Source organism: Homo sapiens, chromosome 10, assembly GCF_000001405.40.
Source record: "Homo sapiens chromosome 10, GRCh38.p14 Primary Assembly".
Lineage (NCBI taxonomy): Eukaryota > Metazoa > Chordata > Mammalia > Primates > Hominidae > Homo > Homo sapiens.
The window spans coordinates 5146623-5166201 of record NC_000010.11 but is presented as its reverse complement, the minus strand read 5'-3'; the positions used below and the strand labels follow the sequence as shown (position 1 = coordinate 5166201).

Genomic DNA, 19579 nt, shown 5'->3' with positions numbered 1-19579 from the left:
CATTTTTTTTCTTCAGAGTCTCGGGGTCAAAGGAATCTCAATGCTTCAGAATGCACTTGAGAAGAGTGCAGGCTGAAGATGGTTTGTTACTCATCTAGACAAGGGAGGAGAAAAGATGTCCCTTAGTCTCTTTCTTCTTTTTAGAGTGACCCAGGGTGGAGAGAAAGATAGAAAGGGTGTCCCACTTTTCCTTTTTTCTCTCATCCTCTGGGTCCCAGTGACTGTTATAGGAGTCACCCATGGATGCAAGTGTCACCTTCACCCATAGATCTGAACAAGTTAGTCGTTAGGAGTAGTCATGTTCACCTGTGTGAGGTACTAGTTCTGTGTCTTTCTAGATTTCTTAGATCATAAGCCTCCCTGGAGTTACCCTAGGTGTCTGGGAGACATTGTACAGTAGTCAGATTTGGGTAAGACCCTTTAATGAAGGGACTGTTTTAACCCCATCTCTGTCTTTTCAAGCTATGGCCCTGGTAAAGCATTGAATTTCTAGAGAATGAGACTGATTGACTATTAAACATAAAGTACTCTTTTTTGTTTAAATGTCAGTGTAAGTGGATGTAGAACAGGTGTCTCAAAAGAAGCTGAGGATTGAATGGCTGTCCTCCCGCTGATGGGGACATCACTGAGGCTAGAATTTGTTTCTCCAGGGAAGTTTCTTTCTGATTGGTGAAAGTGGCCTTTTTCTGTTCACAGATGGGGTATGAAGTTTGATCACTATTAGAGGGATATAGAAGGGAGAGGAATTGGGAAACTAGAGGTTTTGAGCAAAGGGCTGACAAGGCTCCCCATGGAGAAAAAATCCTATCCCCCTAGGAGGTGTTGTAGGGTCTGAAATGTTAGGCAAAAACTCTGACTCCAGATTTTTTCCAGGTAGAAGTTAGAGGTTTGAGGCTTAATAGGCTGTTCCTATAATATGTTCCACAGTGGAAAAAAAACTAATTTGCTTCATAAAGAAACTGTTAAAATTCATTGGGCAGTGGTGAATTTTTACATGGAGGAAAGACAACCCAAATGGAGAGGGAGGAGGGTATTCACTCGTGGTGAAATAACCCCCTATACAGTGTCATGAATGTCTATCAGTAGGGACAAAAAGGCCCTTATTAGGTGAAAATTTAGACAGAAATATTGAATTCCCCTTGTTTCTAGGGAATCACAAAATCAGTACCTATTTGAATTACATTCCTGATTACTACAACACTGGCTGAGTTTACCCAATAAGAATATATCCACAACTTGTAAAAATGCTATAACATTATATACAAAGAAGGAACAGAAGACATGATAGCCATGAAAAGAGAGAAAGAAAATGCAGTAGGAAAGGCTAGAAGTTCTGGTGCCAAAGCCCTGACAGGCTGTTGGGAACTGGAGTTAGTGCAGGAGCCTTCAGATAACACTGAGATGTAGCCTCGGCCAGTAAATTTCAGTTGTCTTAGGACCTCTTTTCAGCTGCATGTGACAGGTAGGTCTTCCATGAAAGAAAACTGGAGTGGAACAGAATCAACATTCCCAACACCTGAGGATGATGGGCATTGACGAAGTCCTCTTCAGGAAGCCTGTCCCCTGAGTCTTGTAAGGCTGGCAGCTGCCCTATTCACTGACAGGGGCCCAGTGTTTTGTTTGCTCTTGAGAGAGAAAAATATCTGAAATGAAAGTAAAGAGTTTGACGGTTGGCTCCTGCTAACCCTTCCCATAAATCCCATTCCCAACCCATGCACCAAAAATATGTTACAGTCTCATCAATGTATCAAAAATGTAGTAGTCTCTCATGATGTATCACCCAAAGTTTTTTGACTTACCACCAAGAAAATTGTGGACACAAAGGGTGAGGTTAGAAGGAAAGTTTAATAAATGAAAGAAGAAAGCTCTCTATAGTAGAGAGGGGGCCTGAATGGTTTGTCATCTGTGAGGTTGGGTCTGGGCTGTTCTGAACTGGAAAGGAAAGAATGTGTTGAGTGGACTTGGAGAAAGTGTAACTCAGCTTTGCCTTGGACCTAGGCCCAGGACCAATCAGAGACTGAAGTGAAAGTTTTGTCCAGGACCTTGGTCCGAGACTAATAGAGAGTTGGAGTAAAAGCTTGACCAAGGACCTTGGCCCAGGAGCAATCAAAGGCTGTAGTGATGATTCTTAGAGGCTCAGCTCACAGTCAAAAGCATGTCCAAAAAAGAAAAGTGTCCACTGGAAGCCACTGTAGCCCACAGTGTACACGTCCACAAAAGGAGAAGAGACTACTTTCTAGAAGCCTGTTGGTTACACAAAGGACAGGGGCATTTCTATGTTGGGTCTTGTTCTCTTATTAGTGTAGTTATGGGTATGTCTTAGGCTTAAAGGACAAAGGCGTTTTTATGTTGGGACAAAGGCATATCTGTGGTGAGTCTTGTTCTCTTATTAGTGTAGTTGTTGGTATGTCTTAGGCATAAAGGACAAATGTGTTTTTATGTTGGGCCTTTGTCTTTTATCCGAATGGGCCAGAGATTTGTGGAAGTTTCCTTATCTGTGTCTGCAGCCTGATTTTTCAGGCCATTTCTCTGTTTAAAGGAGTTTTACCAAGAACCCACCCTAACTTACTAACTTTTTTATCTTAATTCTACACATTAGGAAGTGAGAAGGGAAGACTTAGGAGGCATAGTGTCATAATGGGGACTAGATTGTGCTTCTCATGAAATACACTATTTGCCATCCACTCAGTTTACTGAAGGGAATTTAAAGTGTCACACTGGTCACAGGGAGGTAGGGTGAGCTTTGGGGTTGCTTTGCAAGAATTGCTCTAAAAATGATAGAACAATGTGCTTAATCTTGGTAGAACTATAACATGAGAAGTCAATTTACAACAGCTGTCAGACAGGGCCAGTTGCTTTCAGTGGCATAATTATCCATTTTATCCAGTAAGTATAAGGTGTGTCTAATATGTTATATTCAATTTCTACAGTTGATTGATATGGAATGAGACATGATTTTTCCATGCTCCAGGGTGAAGCCAATTTCTCTAATTCATTTGGGAATAGAAGTTATACTGGAGTTTAATCAATGTCCTCAGAGTACAGGTCTGTCACTGAAACCCGTGTCATCAAAATTGGAGGAGGCGGCCAGCAGAAACCGACAGTGAAAATGCTATTGGGGGAAATGCATTGATTTTCTTTGAGTTGGGCAGATCAACAACTCTTTACTCCTGTCTTATAGACTCCCAAAAGCCAGGCTGCCGAGGCCACCAAAGTGGCTATTGACGTAGGCTTCCGCCATATTGATTCAGCATACTTATACCAAAATGAGGAGGAGGTTGGACAGGCCATTTGGGAGAAGATCGCTGATGGTACCGTCAAGAGAGAGGAAATATTCTACACCATCAAGGTGAAAGTTCTGTGTGTACAGTAGCCAGAGGCCACTATAAGTTCAGATATATTATTTTGAAATGAAAACATGGTCTAAGTTGAATTCTTTATTTACCTCCTAATATTATGAAGGCATATTATAGAAACAGAAAAGACTTTCTTACTCTGAAATATTTTACTGGTAGAACACAATTCTTCAGTGTCTCTGAGCATCAGACAGTATTCATGTATAAAATGGAAATAATACTTATCTCCTTTAACTGTTGTATGGATTAACCAAGCCACTATGGGTCCACTCCTTCAGTTCTTCAGTAAGAGCTCTTAGGATGTAGCAAGTAAGGTCACATATTAATCAGAAAAGTGATCCAGACAAGAAAACACTTTTTCTCAAATCAGCATTGAGTTTTCTGAACTCTCTAAAATTGTCCTAGATGGAAATCCATGCTTCATATGTAAACAGAGCTGAGGTCTCCAGGGATGCACCCTGTGTGTGTTTACATCGATAATTTATTTTTAGAATGTAGGTCTCTCAGAATAATTCTTTCTAGGAATTTATTATACAGGACAAGAGATTCTGTTCTCCCTGTCCTGCCATTTCTTGACTCATTTTGGTGGATGAATCCTCTAATCCTTGATACGTTGAAGTTGATTTTCCTGCCCCTTATTAGTTTTACTCACAGTTTTCTTCACAGTTTTCTTACATTGCAGTCATTCAAGGAAATCTCAGTATCCCAGCAAGGACTTGATTTATACTGAGTAACATATGTTTAGTCCCAGCTCTTTTAGCTTTGGACCACAGTGTTTTAAGACTCATATCTCAATGTCTGACCATGAAGTTTAATTTTTGTCCTCAAATGTGTGAAATTATAATCCATTTTTGTTTCTTTTGGTCACTGCAGCTTTGGGCTACTTTCTTTCGGGCAGAATTGGTTCACCCGGCCCTAGAAAGGTCACTGAAGAAACTTGGACCGGACTATGTAGATCTCTTCATTATTCATGTACCATTTGCTATGAAGGTCAGCTTTTGTTTTTCCTTGTTATGCCCAAGACTGTTTCATCATGGTTATAAGCATCTGAATTATCTAATTCTAGCTTGGTTTCCAGGGTTCTTCCTGAGAGAGGCAGATTTGAGTGAGGTGCATAGGATTGCCAAAACTTTCGTGAGTATCTTTCACAATTGAGTGACTCTACCATCAAGATTTTCTGTCTATCCTTGTCCCCCAGCCTTAAGGGGGATTCAGATTCAATGATCTCACTTCCTCTACCCTAGACAGTTGAGGGCATTGCACTGTATTTCTCAGTGCTTGTGTTCCTGAATGGAAGCCCTGAGCCATTAGGATCTTCAAGAATGTTGAGTTACCACAGACTGCAGAGATACAATGGGAACCCCCACCTCTTTAGTGGGAGGGTCTCCCGTATGTACCCTTCAGCCCAACAAAAGAGAGATACCTGGGATGGTGCATGTGGCACAGATGGGCTCCTTTGGGCTCCGCTGATCTAACCTCTCATCACAGTGGACGTTGGCTGAGCACTTCTGATGTCCTTACTCTCTGAGTCGGGTGAGCGTAAACTGGGGCTAAACACACTGATGAATAGCTATATTAAGCACTGTCCTCCACACCAGCTTGTCCTTGGGAAACAAAATGAATTCCAACTGTAGGGACCTCATTCTTAGTGACGAGTAGGGATGTGTGGAGGATGGAACCTGGAAGTTATCTTTCTTTCCACTCATGTCTTTGCACACACATACACATATGTACACATAATCCACACATGCATGCAAACACATTTACACACATACCCACACACATATATATACACACATGCACACGTGCATGCAAATGTAGGCACAAATATGTGCACTCAGATTAATAATCACCACCTCCTGAAACTCTTGAAGGTTGTTTGGCCGAGCTCCTTAGGCACCAGAAAGGAGAATTCCATAGAAAATGTCCTTCTTTATCTTCTTTTCTATTTTCCAGCCTGGGAAAGAATTACTGCCAAAGGATGCCAGTGGAGAGATTATTTTAGAAACTGTGGAGCTTTGTGACACTTGGGAGGTATGTTCTGCTGCAGACACCAGGCAGCACTGTGTAGTGAGGTTGGAATTGCAGGAGGAGGGGTCAGAAGAGATGGGATTTTGCTCCAGCAGTTGTCTGACCTCAGATGTGGAGCTTCTCTGTGCCTCTGTGTTCTCATCTGTGAAGTGAGAGAGTGGAATGAGATGGCCTCTACAGTTCATTTTAATTGTAACTTCTAAGGTTCTAAGTAGACATAGAGGCACCTTTGGCCTTGAGATCAGGTTGAGGATGTGAGCCCTATAAGGGGTCAGCATAGAGAAGCACAAAAGGAGTCAGCATGTTATCTTTGGATAGAAACACATCATGGAGGAGGGACAGCTGCGGACTGACTCAGCAGGAGGGTGGAAGGTGCAGGACAGTGAACCTGCCCTTGAAAAACCCATTTGATTGATTTTTTTTCATTTTTTTTTCCCATTCTAGAACAGAGGTAGCAGAAAACCCTCTACTAACAGAAAACCCAAGAGTCTCCTTTGCTTATGACTCTGGTATAATTTGTTAAGGAACTATTGCATATCTCAAGCCAGATAGGTAGTATTGAAATAAGTGGGAGACAACAAATATGTCTACTTGCTGTTATGAGTATGCTTGTAATAGAATCAAGGAGACAAACATATATGCATAGCAAGGTAATGCATTAGGAAATTGTATATTCAAGTGATAAAACTGTTTAATTCAGTCTAATATTTATATATGTTAAAACAGATTTCCAGCATTTACAAAGTCAAACGCCAATTGAAAAGAAAAATTTACACTAAAGGTCTATCACCCATATCCTTCCTCCCCAGGCCCTGGAGAAGTGCAAAGAAGCAGGTTTAACCAGGTCCATTGGGGTGTCCAATTTCAATCACAAGCTGCTGGAACTCATCCTCAACAAGCCAGGGCTCAAGTACAAGCCCACCTGCAACCAGGTGAGCCCTTAGCCCACCGGGACCTTCTCTGACTTTTTGCTGTTCACACACTTCCTGCTTAATCATGTCTCCAAGTTTCTGCTTGATGTCTTCTGTGTAGATGAGAGTTCTTTTCTCTCAGAAATAGGAGATACCAGAGAAAGAGCAATTTGAGTGGGGTGGAAGAGCACAATTCTTCAGAAGGGGTGAAAGTTTCTATGAGACAGCCATGTGGAGGTGCTGAGTTGGGAAATGGCAGCTTTGGTCTGGAGCTCGGGATGGTCCAGGTGGAGATACAGATGTTTGGAGTCATTGCTTTATGGATGGTAACTAAACTCACAGACATGGATTTGTTCTCCTAGGGAAAGTTCATGGATGAAAAGGAACAGGTAGGAAGATCCACAGGAGAGGGTGAGGCAGAGAGGCACTGGCAAGGAGACTGAAAAGAAGCTGCCAGACAGATGGAGACAACCAGGAGAGGGTGGTGTCAGGAATCCAGTGAAAGTTTCGGTTTTATGAAAGAAATCAAGTCGTTTGTCCTGTAAAGATTTCCACATCACTTCCTAATGGCTTACTCATCGATCCACGTGACACACTTTGACATGTTCCTTTTGTACTTCCTGTAAATTGAAGCTTAGTGCTACAGATCTGATCTCACTTGATTAATGCCATGCGAATTTATGAATTTTAGCCAATACGTCATTTTCCATTCATCATAATTACTATTTTTTTGATGCTCAAGTTTCCATATTTTGACCAGCAGGAGCCTCTTCAAGTAAGATCCTGGGTCCTTTGGCAGCATGCGTCATTGTCATTCTTATCTTCTCTCCTTTCTAGAGTGCAAGCTCTTCTAGGCTCAAATGGAAACTTTCACACTCAGAACTGGAATATGCCCTTCCTCTAAGGAATCTTGGTTTCTTTCAGTAAAAATGGCTTTTAGAGGCTATAATTGGGGCACAAGGTATTTTAATAATTTTCAAACACGAATAGAAAAGGAATAAGAAAATTACTGTATCAGTGTGGCAAATGATGGGATTTGAAAGTGCTTCAGAAGGTGCATGGGGAAAAGGGCCAACATGAAAAGTATAGTACATCTATTAATGTAGTATTACACATTCCTTCAGACCAATTTTAAATTTGCATGTGGTTATTGGCTCATATATTGTGACACCTTTTGGTCTTGAAAAATTACAGGTGGAATGTCACCCTTACCTCAACCAGAGCAAACTCCTGGAGTTCTGCAAGTCCAAGGACATTGTTCTAGTTGCCTACAGTGCCCTGGGATCCCAAAGAGACCCACAGTGGTAATAAGAATGTCAAAGAGTTAACCTATGGCGGGAATTCTGCTGATGCTGAAAAACTCCTATTAAAGCGAAGTTTTAAAAATTGTATTATAAAAAAGCTCAAAGATTAAAAGCGAAAAGCAACGGTGTAGTTTGTTCCCATGTATCACTACTGAGCTTAAATGTCACCAACATTCTTTCCTTCCTGTTTCATCTATGTGACTACTTACTCCCAACCCCACTCCTAAAATAAATTTTAAAGTGGTCTTTAGGTAAGATTTGCCTAGGCTGTAATGCTGTACAATTTTGGCAAATGGACATACTCTGTAACCCACATCCCTAATGTGGTATACAAACTTGTTATCTCCCAAAGAAGTTATTTTTTTTCCTTCTGAGACAATAACTTCTCATTGCTAGGAAACTATTTTCTGGTTTTTTCACCTTAGATTAGTTTTGTGTGCTCTAAAATTTCCTATGAAAGAGATCATGTGCATTAGTTTGCACCTGGCTTCTTTCACCATATCTGTGAGCTGCATTCATGTAGCTGTGAGTATCTGTAGTTCTTTCCATTTTATTTCTGGGTGTTATTCCAGGGTATGGATAACTTGTTTATCCATTCACCTGTTAATGGACAGCCTTATTGTTTCCAGTTCACTGCATTTATGAATGAATCCATATGAATAGTTATCAGACCGTTTTAAATCAAATTGTATTGTGCCCACTCCTCTCAACTCTCTGGAGAATTTGGGGAAAAGGAGCAGCGCACTGTAGATTTTCCATCCTGCATCCTTCACATCTGTGTCTGTTCCCTCCCCAACAGGGTGGATCCCGACTGCCCACATCTCTTGGAGGAGCCGATCTTGAAATCCATTGCCAAGAAACACAGTGGAAGCCCAGGCCAGGTCGCCCTGCGCTACCAGCTGCAGCGGGGAGTGGTGGTGCTGGCCAAGAGCTTCTCTCAGGAGAGAATCAAAGAGAACTTCCAGGTAAAGGTTGAGCAGAGTCGCTCCAGAGTGAGCCATGGGTGCTGATCTGGGCGATCTCTCTTACATGGGAGAATGCGACACGTGTCATTCATTCCTGTGCTCTCCACTCTGTGCTAAGGGAGGAGGGCAGTGTGGAAGGATCGACGAGAGGGCACTGAACTCAGAGTCCTCAGGTTTATCATCTCTAGGCTTGGCTTTGCCACTTACTAGTTGGTTGACACTAAGCAAATTTCAACTCACTTATTTTCATCCGTTTCAGGAGTTCTTCTACATGGTAATGAACTTTAAGGACCCTGATTCTTCTCCTTCACCTTCTCTACCTATAAATGCCTATTTGTATTTTAAAATCAAACCCAAATAAAATTAGCTGCTCTGTTAAACTACTGGGACACCCCAGGCCAGTTTTCACCACAAAAGCCCCTGGCCTGGCATGACTCTGTTAGTGAGTTTTTTGTTTATTAATTTTACATCATTTGCTAATACTTCAGTGTGCTCTCTGGACTGTGAGAACCTAAATACAATGGCTCCTTCTGGATTATCTTTTATTACCCTTCCCCTGGCAGTGACTCTAGCAGGTATGAAACTAGGCATAAGTTTACAGACCAACCAAACTAAGAAATTGAGGAGTGAAGTTATCTTGTAAACCCTTCTCCACATCCACTCTGGACCTTGTATTAATCACAGGTCTCCAACTTATTTTGTTTTGAATCCCACAAGAATTTTGAAAAAATATGTAAGCTGTTTCTCATTTTAAAATGACAGCTACAAATTTTATTATGAGTTTAATATTTACAAGAGATGACATTTGAGTCATATATAATGTATTTATTTCAAAATATTGTAGTTCTAGATTAAGTATATTAACTTGTGGAAAAATTAAATAGGTAAATCTAAATCTCATTGTGACAACTTAAACAAAAAATGCCCATTTTATTTTTTGATCCAATTCAAAATGTTAATACCTGCTCTCATGACAACCATATAACTTCTGAAGTACATTTTTAAAAAGAGTGGTGGATAAATGTGTTGGTAGATAGAAAGAAGATGGACGGATACATATAGAGAAAGAGATAAATACATTAGATAGATAGATAGATAGATAGATAGATCTGAGTCTTTCATGAAATTGTGTCCTGGATCACATAATGAAAGTAGCATTTTTTTTTTAACCAAAAAATATCTGTTTTACTATTAATGGGCTCCTCATCAGGGACTATGTGTTGACAAATGAAAACTACTCTTGACTTAAGTAAGAGAGATTTATTAAAAATGCAGAACTCTTTGAACATAAGATCTAAGTGTCTCAAAGATCAATTAGTAAGCATTTTTTATAAGGAAGAGCAAACACAGCTGGAAATAGTATTTAGGGGTCCTGAGGTGAGCAAGTAGAACAGTTGTCCAGAAAATGCTTTTTCTGAGGCAAACAGATTCTTGAGTGGGAGTTTCCTGTGTTCTAAGGCTCTGTCATTCCAAGGCTGGATCAGGTTCCACGGGAAGTGAGGAAACAAATCCCTGACCAAGTGTGGACATGTCCAGGTGGCAGTTATTTTGCATACTTTATTTTCTATTTTAAAATAAAGGATTTCCTTTTTCTGCCTCAAGCAATTCTCAATAAATATTTTAGATTGATGAGTGCACACCTTTCTTTTGAGAAGTGGAGCCCAGTAGGAGAGGGATGGGATGGAGAAGAGGCAGAATGAAGGTGGAAGAGGTCTCAGGTGGAAGACGTCTCAAGCCACATGCACCTGGAAGCTGATGAGGATGAAAATGCTTCCCCCAATGCCATCCTTGCCTCTGCCTCCTGGAAAGTCCTTGTATTCCCATGTAGAAGCTGCTGCCCTGGGGAGGGGTTAATGTGAGTGTTTTCTTCCTTTCAGATTTTTGACTTTGAGTTGACTCCAGAGGACATGAAAGCCATTGATGGCCTCAACAGAAATCTCCGATATGACAAGTTACAATTGTAAGTGATGCTTGTAGATTCTCTCACAGGCTGTTTTCTGTAGTATGCAGGGAAATGGGGAACACATCTTCCCTACATCAGGAAGACAGGCCCAAATTCAGGCATGGGGTGAAATAGGAGATGCCCTGTAGCCTTCAGACCAGAGGTTTCCTCCAGGACTCAATCTCTGACCCAGCAGAAATGTGTCTGTAAGTGAAACTGCCAATGTCTGCACCATTGTGAATCCAATTCTTGAAGGCCCTTACTATCTGTGCCTGGGTCTAGCACTCAGGGCCCACTGCCTATGAGTCTAGAAGGCTCAGTGTGTAGGACCTACAAACCTATAGGGGCCCATCATAACGTTCTCTTTAATTTATATTAAAATCAGAAGAAAAATGAATACAATAATAATGCATATGTAATAATGACTCCATCCAGCTCTATCTTTGTGTTTACATCATGGCAATGGAAACACAATTTAAGTATTAATACAGGATGGGCCCATGAAGGCAAAGGTGCCTGTCTCCTAGGGAAGCCTTAATGTGGTATTCCCTCTTCAGGATACCAACTATTTCTGCAAAAATTTATGTCTTTCTTGGCCCTCTTTACCTACCACAACTCCCATTTCCTCAGCTATATAATCTCACCATGCTGAATTGTGAATGAATTATGAGATTAATAGACCCTCAAATGCTAGTGACTGAGGTGTCAATAGCCTTTACCAAGATAAGATCCTTTGGAGTTTCTCTGGATCCTCAAGGCATGACTCTTACTCCAGTGTCATCTTTGTCCACCTGAAGTCCACCTCTGGAGAGCCCAACATCCCTTGACTTTGGTTTATTTATAAACGTGACGTTCCAGTTGCTCAACTACTGCAGGATCTCAGGACTAAGGAGAGAGAAGGCTAAATAGAGAGGAGTTTAGAGGAAAGTTTAGAAGCAGGGGAAATACAATTTTGGTTGCCAGAGTAAAGACTCAGTCTCCAAAAAAGATCTGAAGAATCCTCCTTTATGTAAAACCACACCAAGATTCTGAGAGGAAACATTTTCAATGAGAAAAATGTGGGAAGTAACTTTTCTGTACCCAGAGGCTAAGTATAAGTCTGTGATCTGCCTTATGAGACTGTGAATGCATTGTCTTACTCATGTCTGTGGCCCTGTGTCAATATGACTCCTGGCACATTTAACTGCTTAGAAGGTACTCTTTAATGTCACCCAATTAAAAAGAACAAATTGTAAAAAAGAAAAATGAACATAAAAAGGAAAACAAACAGTAATTTTAATTACTAACAAGTATCTTTATGATTATATTTAAATAAGTCATAATTGTGTTTTTCAGGTGTGGGTATTAGAAATGCATCTCATCCCCTCCATAGATTAAACCATGTGTGCCGAGGTACAAGTAGGGACGTGGTGGTAAATTCGGGAATTTTAGCCCATCCCAAGTGCTTCTTCAGAAAAACTCTTTGACAGAATGGAAAAAAGTTACTAAATTAATATTTTTTCTCTTTCAGTGCTGCTAATCACCCTTATTTTCCATTTTCTGAAGAATATTGACCATGAGCTATTGAACATTACCACCACAATTTCCTCCTTTTAGGTGACAGAGAGAGGATTTCAGTATTTGATAGAGGAGTAGGAAGTAGGATCTGTAGTTGCAGGTTGCTTGCCTTTCTTTATTTTATGAAATGAAGACTTTAACAAGAAGATGTTTGTTTTTCCTGATTATTAAAGTAATACCCATAAATTTTAGAAAAATAAAAAATACAAAAAAAGACCTGTAATTCTTTCCTTACAGAATACTTATCATTTGATGCATTTTCCTTCATGATTTTTCTAAACAACATGTCTGATATGGTTTGGATCTGTGTCCCCACACAAATATCATGTCAATGATAATCTCCAGTATTGGAGGAGGGATCTGGTGGGAGGTTATTGGATCATAGGGGCGGTCTTTACCCTTGCTGTTCTGGTGATAGTGAGTTCTCATGAAATCTGGTTGTTTAAAAATGTGTAGCATCTCCCCTTCACTCTCTTCCTGCTGCTCTGGCCACATGAAGACGCGTCTGCTCCCCCTTGCCTTCCACCATGACTGTAAGTTTCCTGACGCTTACCCAGCCATGCATCCTACACAGCCTGCAGAACTGTGAGCCAATTAAACTTTTATAAAAGTTACCCAGTCTTAGGTATTCCTTTATAGCAGTGTGACAACGGACTAACCCAATGTTCACTTATTTACATATGTGTTTTTATAAACTTGAAATAATCAATGTTCAGATTCTATACTTTTTAAATAACTACCATATTTTTCCAAGCAAGCAACTATTATTCAAAAATTACAGAATTATATTTTACTTGTTGTAAAGCAGTGTATCTTTCAATGTATTTTGTTTCTTAATCATCTACCCACATTTCGGCATTTTTATTATTTTTGTATATTGTTCCATTCATTCATTTATTAAGCAAAACTTTATTGAGTATCCATTGTATGCCACACGTTGTTTTAGCAGTAAATTAAATAGGCAAAAATTAAACAAAATAAAAATTTTAAAATCCCTGAGTTTGTAGTCTAGTGGAGAATGTCAACTATGAATGCAAGAAACATATAAGTACGTAGTTGTTAGAAATTGCTAAGTGCTTGTAGGGAGATCCTTCTGCAAGATCTCTAACATTGCTGCATATTTGATAAGGCCACTGATTGCCCTCCATTCCAAACTTTTTTTTCAAGAAATTTGTACATTGAACAGCTTTGTCATATAAAGGTGGTAGCTCCCTCCAAGAAAATGAAGACATGTTTACTGTCCAGTAATACAAAGAAAAGAAAATATCTCCCCGCATTAAAATCACAGCTTTAGGGGCTAAGAGAAAATTTTCCCTTTGCACTCTGAAGGGCCAATGAAAATCACCTGATGAAAGGCAGACTCATTATGAAAAGGCATACAATTTAATTAATGTTGGGACTCATAAAACAATACCCTCAAATGAAGGCCCCAGAAGCAAAAGGTTTTCTCTGACCCTCTCCTAATCTGCTGTCTCTCAGTCCCATTCTTCTCCAAGGCTAGCCACAGAAACTAGAATCCCTCTTCCCCACAGCATTTCCACGGAGAAAAATGTTAATGTCTGAAGTAGTCCACAGATGAGGTTTTCTAGAGTCCTTGAAGTATTTTTAAATTGCAATGGCAATCTGACAATTTTTCTGAGTTGTAGTTTGATCCTGGTGTTCCAGTAAATTTTCTGAGCAGTTTATACATCAACAGTCACAAAGCTACTTATACAAGTTGCTGTGATGATTTACTCTGAGCCACATAGATCAGTTTGCTTAAAAAATTGTGTCCATTTTTGGCGGTAACAGCAAATATGGGCTAGAGCTCTATGTATGATTCAAGCAAACAGTGGCATTCCCAAATGGGAACTGGAAAGACAAAAATTATGTTTCAAAAAACTATAGCACACCTGTTGTTAGTTGTTCTTGAGTTTTTATTATTTTCTGTAATTTGCACTAAATCCCAAATTCTTTGTGGGCTGCAAGTCCCCAAACTAGTGCTTTCAAATTTTTACATTTAAAACTGGAAATTGCACTCTTTATCCTAGAATTCATTATTTACCTGATAGTATGCTGTTTGTTTAAATGCTATACTAAAATTATAGATGACAATAATAATGCCTTTGTCATGCAAACCTTAGAATCCCAGCCCAGCCTGCATGAGTACAGACCTCAACTTGAGGTCAACTCTATTCCTACTATGACTCCTGTCAGCAGGAAGAAGCCAGAGTGGTCATTGGCCTTTTCCCATTTTTATAGCCCACACCTTAAGAATAAGGTGTTATAAAACTCAAAGGGGCTGGGTGCAGTGGCTCATGCCTTTAATCCCAGCACTTTGGGAGGCCGAGGTGGGCAGATCACCTGAGGTCAGGAGTTTAAGACCAGCCTGGCCAACATGGTGAAATCCCATCTCTACTGAAAATACAAAAATTAGCCAGGCATGGTGGTGTGTGCCTGTAATCCCAGCTACTTAGGAGGCTGAGGTAGGAGAATCACTTGAACCCAGGAGGCAGAGGTTGCAGTAAGCTGAGATTGTGCCACTGTATGCCAGCCTGGGTGACAGAACAAGACTGTGTCTCAAAAAAAAAAAAAAAAACCCAAAGGGAAGAATTGAAACCACTAGTACAAAATTATAATTAGAAAATTATTGCAGTGAAAGAGAAGGAAACAAACTGACTCCATCCTGCTTCTAACCTCCAAGCTCTTCTTGTTCACTCATGGGCATAGGCTGAACTAACTTTTGGGGGAACTTAGTTTGTAGTTTGAAACAAAGATGATAACAGCCCTTTCCCAAAACAAACCCTTTCCTGCCTGGGGACTAGACTGCTTTAGTAGGACTAATATATTAGCCACAAGATTAGAAATTATGGTTTACGAGTCATGCGGCTGGAGGCTATAAGATTCTGAACTTCCATAAATTGCTCCTGGATAACATCACTTTTGTAAAGCCTAAGATCAGTGCTTGAGATATTTTGCAGACCCTGAACCTGATAGATCAGCTGGTGCCACCCAGATTAATAAACTGGCTCATTCGGTCTTGTGCCCCCCACCCATGAACTGACTCAGTGCAAGAGGACAGCTTCAACTCCCTATGATTTAATCTCCAACCCAACCAATCAACACTCCTGACTCACTGGTCCCCTACCCACCAAGTTATTCTTAAAAATTCCAACCCCTGAGTCTTCAGGGAGACTGATTTGAGTAGTAATAAAACTCTGTTCTTCTATATACCTGGAACAGTGTGAATTAATCTCTTTCTCTATTGCAATTCCCCTGTCTTGATAGATCAGCTCATTCTAGGCAGTGGCAAGGAGAACCCACCGGGCAGTTACAATGTTGTCTTGATTAGGTCTTATTTCTTGGGAAACTGAGTCTCCTTTCTATGAGAAGTAGAGGTTTTTTTTTTAATCTTTGCATTATTATGTGGCTAAATGAATGACTTATTTTACAGTGATCTGTGACTTTATTTTGTGGTATAAAATGTCTTAAGGCTTTGCTATTTGACAAACGTTCCAAAAATCAAAAGTTCAAGTTACACATTTAGTCTTTTTTACCTCATTAACTTTCACAAATATTAGGGCTCCTAAAGTCCAAAACTTACATATTTGAGATGTTAAAATTATACAGGAAGCATTGTCAAATATGAAATAGTGTTTAACTTTCTTTGAGTGTGATTTATATAGGGTGTTATTAATATGTGTTCTTCAATTATATGAGATTTCTATAATTCTGATATATCTTAGTATATATTCTTAATTATTATAATTTTTATGTTAAATTGGTGTATGGCATAAAATATTCCTTTGTCAATTGTGTCTTTGATCATGGCTATCCTAAGAATTTTGTCATCCAAAGACAATTGTTGTCTTAATTTGATCCTTCTCAAAAAGCAACTTATAATCACCTCTTGTCCAAGACTTGCTTCTTTAAATACACTTGCAGAAAGGAGTCCAACGGGTACATTTAAATGCATTTTTGTAGTAACCATGGAAATTGTGCCATTGGACTAAAGAAAACATCCTGGAATCCCCTCAGTGAAGAGCTAATATGTTCATAAAATTATTAGCTCCAATATCAAACAACATGAGTTCATTGCATGGGACCAAACTAATAGAAGACTAAAACAATTTTATGACATTTTGTTTAAATTACTGCTGATTCTTTCTGTTTTGTTTTTCAAAGTCCAGAAGACTTTATTCTTTTGAGCTGTTTTTATAGCTTTCAGTGACTGAGTAAAATATTCTTTTTTGAGAAAAATTTGAAACAAAATTTGAAAAATATTTTTTCTCTTCGCCTAATTCTTCCAGAATTTGAAACGTATTTGTGAGTATTCTTAATTTATGGCAACATAGTTATTCACATAAGTTTAATAAGAATGTGTTTGTTTTTGGAATAAGACACTAATAATTTATCAAAGCTTTAACTGGAATGACATATTTGCAGAAATGAACAGATTACTTTGAGAAATGGAGGTTAACTTTATAAAGCCAATAAAAGTGCCTTGGAAAGACTGTCCTTTTACCTTGCCTATTCCATCTACAGGGTTTCTTACCTGTGAAAAATAAAGAATGCCATTTTATGACAGGTCCAGTAACTTCAAGTTATTTTGAGACCACAAAAAAGAGAAAATAAACCAATTTATGCAATTCATCTGAAGGCACAGATACATTTTTGGCTGAGATAGAAAGGTCTTTAAAAGTCTAATCTGAGAGTCTTTTAAATAGCTTCAGCAAAGCCAATTTATAAAGAGCCTATTGAACAATAATTATTCTTGTTGCAATGTATGCAAATAATCAGGCCAAGAATAATAAGACTATGACATATTTTGCAAATAAATTGTTTCTATCATTATTTGTCTTTGATAAAATCTAGGGACTGGAGAGAAAAAGTATGTTTCAAAAGAAACTATAGTACACCTGTTATTAGAGTCTACACTTGTCCATTGCTTCTCAGTTTTTATTACTTACTACAATTTATCTGGTCTGAATCCTAAATTATTTTCTGGCTACAAGTCAACAAAATTATGTTTTCATTTTTTTCTACTACTTTCCTTACTTGGAATCACCAAACATTTAAATATATATAACAGCTATATATATATTTGTGCTTACTGACTGTAGAGTTTTTAGTAGTAAAGACAGAATCTGTCTTCCAGGATTCCTTTCCTTTTCTTGTTGTAATCTGACCTTGGCATCTTTTTTTCTATTTTTTCTTTCTTTCTGTCCCTGCTTTCTTCCACAGGACGCAAGACTTCACAGCCTCCTAGAAATTAGACTTCCTGGTATGACATAGGAATGAGCCTTACTAAGAAAGGAAAGAAAGAAAAATATATTCTCTGGACCCCATACTCACTATGTCAGAAGGAAAGTTAAGCTTGGTAATGGAGTCATCCAAAAGCTGCCTTCCTTTTATTTCCAAACAGATATCTGTAATTTTGCATGCTTACTATATCCTATATAAAATGTAGATTTATTGAGCGCAAGACAAATGCACAATTTTTTCCCTACTGCTTTGTTTTCACGTGTAAGATAGTAGATTCAGTGAGCACTAATAAGAGGCTCACAAGAATGTAATCACTTGCCTCATTCTGTACCTGACCTGCATTTTTTTATCCTCAAATATTTGTTCTTTACCCTTTAGATATTGCAGTTCCCAAAATCCTCTTTGAAAAAAGTTCAGGTCAAAGATCTTACTGTGACTTGCATTTTTCTTTCTTGGGTGTGTCCTCAACCTTGCCAAAACAAACCTCTAATAGATTGATATCTGCCTGGGTTACTTTTTGGTTTACAATAAGATCAATTATTTATTTGAGGCACATGAGTGTTATTGCTGACTCAAGGATGCCCTGCATCTCTCCTCCCCACTTCTTATTTTTACTTTCCTCCTTCCCTGCTTCTCCCCTCCTCCTCTCTATCTCCTATGTTCCTCCTCCTCTCTATCTCCTATACTACTGAGCATTCTCCTGGCCTCCTGAGATCAGTTTCTCATTCAGCCAGATTGTATACAATCTTCAGGCAGAAGCCCCCACGTAGCAGCCACCTAGTCCCTTGAGTCTTGTGAAGCCAGAGGCCTCACACCTGGCTACTGGAGGAAATGCTGAGTAGAAAAATACAAAAAAAGGAGGGGAGTTTCAAACCTGATATCTCTGTGGCACAAGAGTAGTTGAGATTTGGCAGCTTCGCTGAGCCAGGCAGAAGCCTAATGCATGGGTGGAGGCCCCACCCAGAGTCTCTACTTGAGCAATGATAAGCAGAAATGTGGGATCAGAAGTCACCATGGTGTTTCTACCTAGTGGAGATGTGGGAGCAGGACCACAGCCGTCCAGATCCCAGAATCACAGACCCTTTGGCAGCTTGAAACTTCTGCCTGGAAAAGTCTCACAGGCATAGAACTCCAACCTGTAAGAGTAGCCATGTGGGCTGTGCCCAGCAAAGCCATGGAGACAGGGCTGCCCAAATGCTTGAGAGCTGGCCCTTTGCATCAATGTGCCCAGGATGCAGGACACAAAGTCACCAGAAATTATCTTGGAACTATAAGGTTGAACGTCTGCCTTGCTGGGATTCTGGCTTCCACAGGTCCTGTTTCTCCTGACTTTACCCACACCATTTTTTTTTTTGGTTAATTTTTTACCTTCTGGAAAAGGAATGTTTACTCACAACTGATAACGATGTTGTACTTCAAAAGCAAATAACTTGTTTTTGACTTCACAGGCTCATAACCAGCAGGAACTTGCCTTGAGTCTGAGATGAACTTTTGTACTTTGGAATTTTAAGTTGGTGCTGGGCCAGGGGAAGAATGCTGTAATTGCGATATTTGACCCTCTAAACCATATGCTGAGTTCTCAATGTAGGAAGTGGGGCCTAGTGGGATTGTTATGGTCATTGGGACAGATCCATCATGAGTGGCTTGGTGCTCTGCCTGCAGTAGTGAGTGAATTCTTGCATTATTTCTTTTCTTGATGGCTGCTTGTTAAAAAGAGCCTGGCACCTTACTCGCCTTCTATTGCTTTCCTATCTCACCATCTGACGTCAGCGCATGCTAACTCCACGTCTCCTTTTGCCATGAATGGAAGCAGCCTGGGGCCCTCACCAGAGGCCTACCAGATACCAGTGCCATGCTTCTTGTACAGTATGCAGAACCATGAGCCAAAGAGACTTCTTTATAAATTACTCACCTTCGGGTATGCCTTTATAGCAACACAAATGTACTAAGACAGTATCTAATTTCTCTACACACCTAGAACCAGTACATCCTGAGTGAGTGATCTTAATACCCGATAATCACAGACATACCATTAGTGACAAAGCTTTCCATTTGAGAAGATAACCCTTCTAGACATTGGCTTAGGCAATGATTTCATGACCAAGAACCCAAAAGCAAATGCAATAAAAGCAAAGATAAGTAGCTGGGACCTAATTAAACTAAAGAGCTTTTGCATGGCAAAAGGAACAGTCAGCAGAGTAAACAGACAACCCATAGAGTGGGTTATTTTGAATAGTTTTCCATAACTATTCAAAAGTATCATATATAG

General features: G+C 39.6%; 1 protein-coding gene across 13 annotated transcripts in view, besides 1 other annotated feature; it reads left to right on the top strand.

The window, feature by feature from the left end:
- Window positions 1-19579, top strand: part of AKR1C8 (aldo-keto reductase family 1 member C8) — a 69338-nt gene that overhangs the window by 18949 nt on the left and 30810 nt on the right. For 9 of the 13 annotated variants that reach the window (XM_047425162.1, XM_047425161.1, XM_047425160.1 and 6 more), the window contains exons 2-8: window positions 3182-3349; window positions 4230-4490; window positions 5313-5390; window positions 6197-6319; window positions 7493-7602; window positions 8402-8567; window positions 10445-10527. In XM_047425162.1, the coding sequence (XP_047281118.1) occupies window positions 3182-3349; window positions 4230-4490; window positions 5313-5390; window positions 6197-6319; window positions 7493-7602; window positions 8402-8567; window positions 10445-10527 (989 nt within the window). Of the gene's footprint in view, window positions 1-3181; window positions 3350-4229; window positions 4491-5312; window positions 5391-5831; window positions 6017-6196; window positions 6320-7492; window positions 7603-8401; window positions 8568-10444; window positions 12283-17289; window positions 19448-19579 lie in introns of those variants that run through there. The other 4 variants (XM_047425165.1, NM_001395972.1, NR_027916.3 and 1 more) reach the window with 4 other exon arrangements.
- Window positions 2369-2569: a silencer, noted in NCBI's record as "peak852 fragment used in MPRA reporter construct". NCBI's record gives its function as "represses an SCP1 promoter by STARR-seq MPRAs in K562 erythroleukemia cells {active_cell/tissue: K562}" and the evidence as "EXISTENCE:reporter gene assay evidence [ECO:0000049][PMID:32103011]".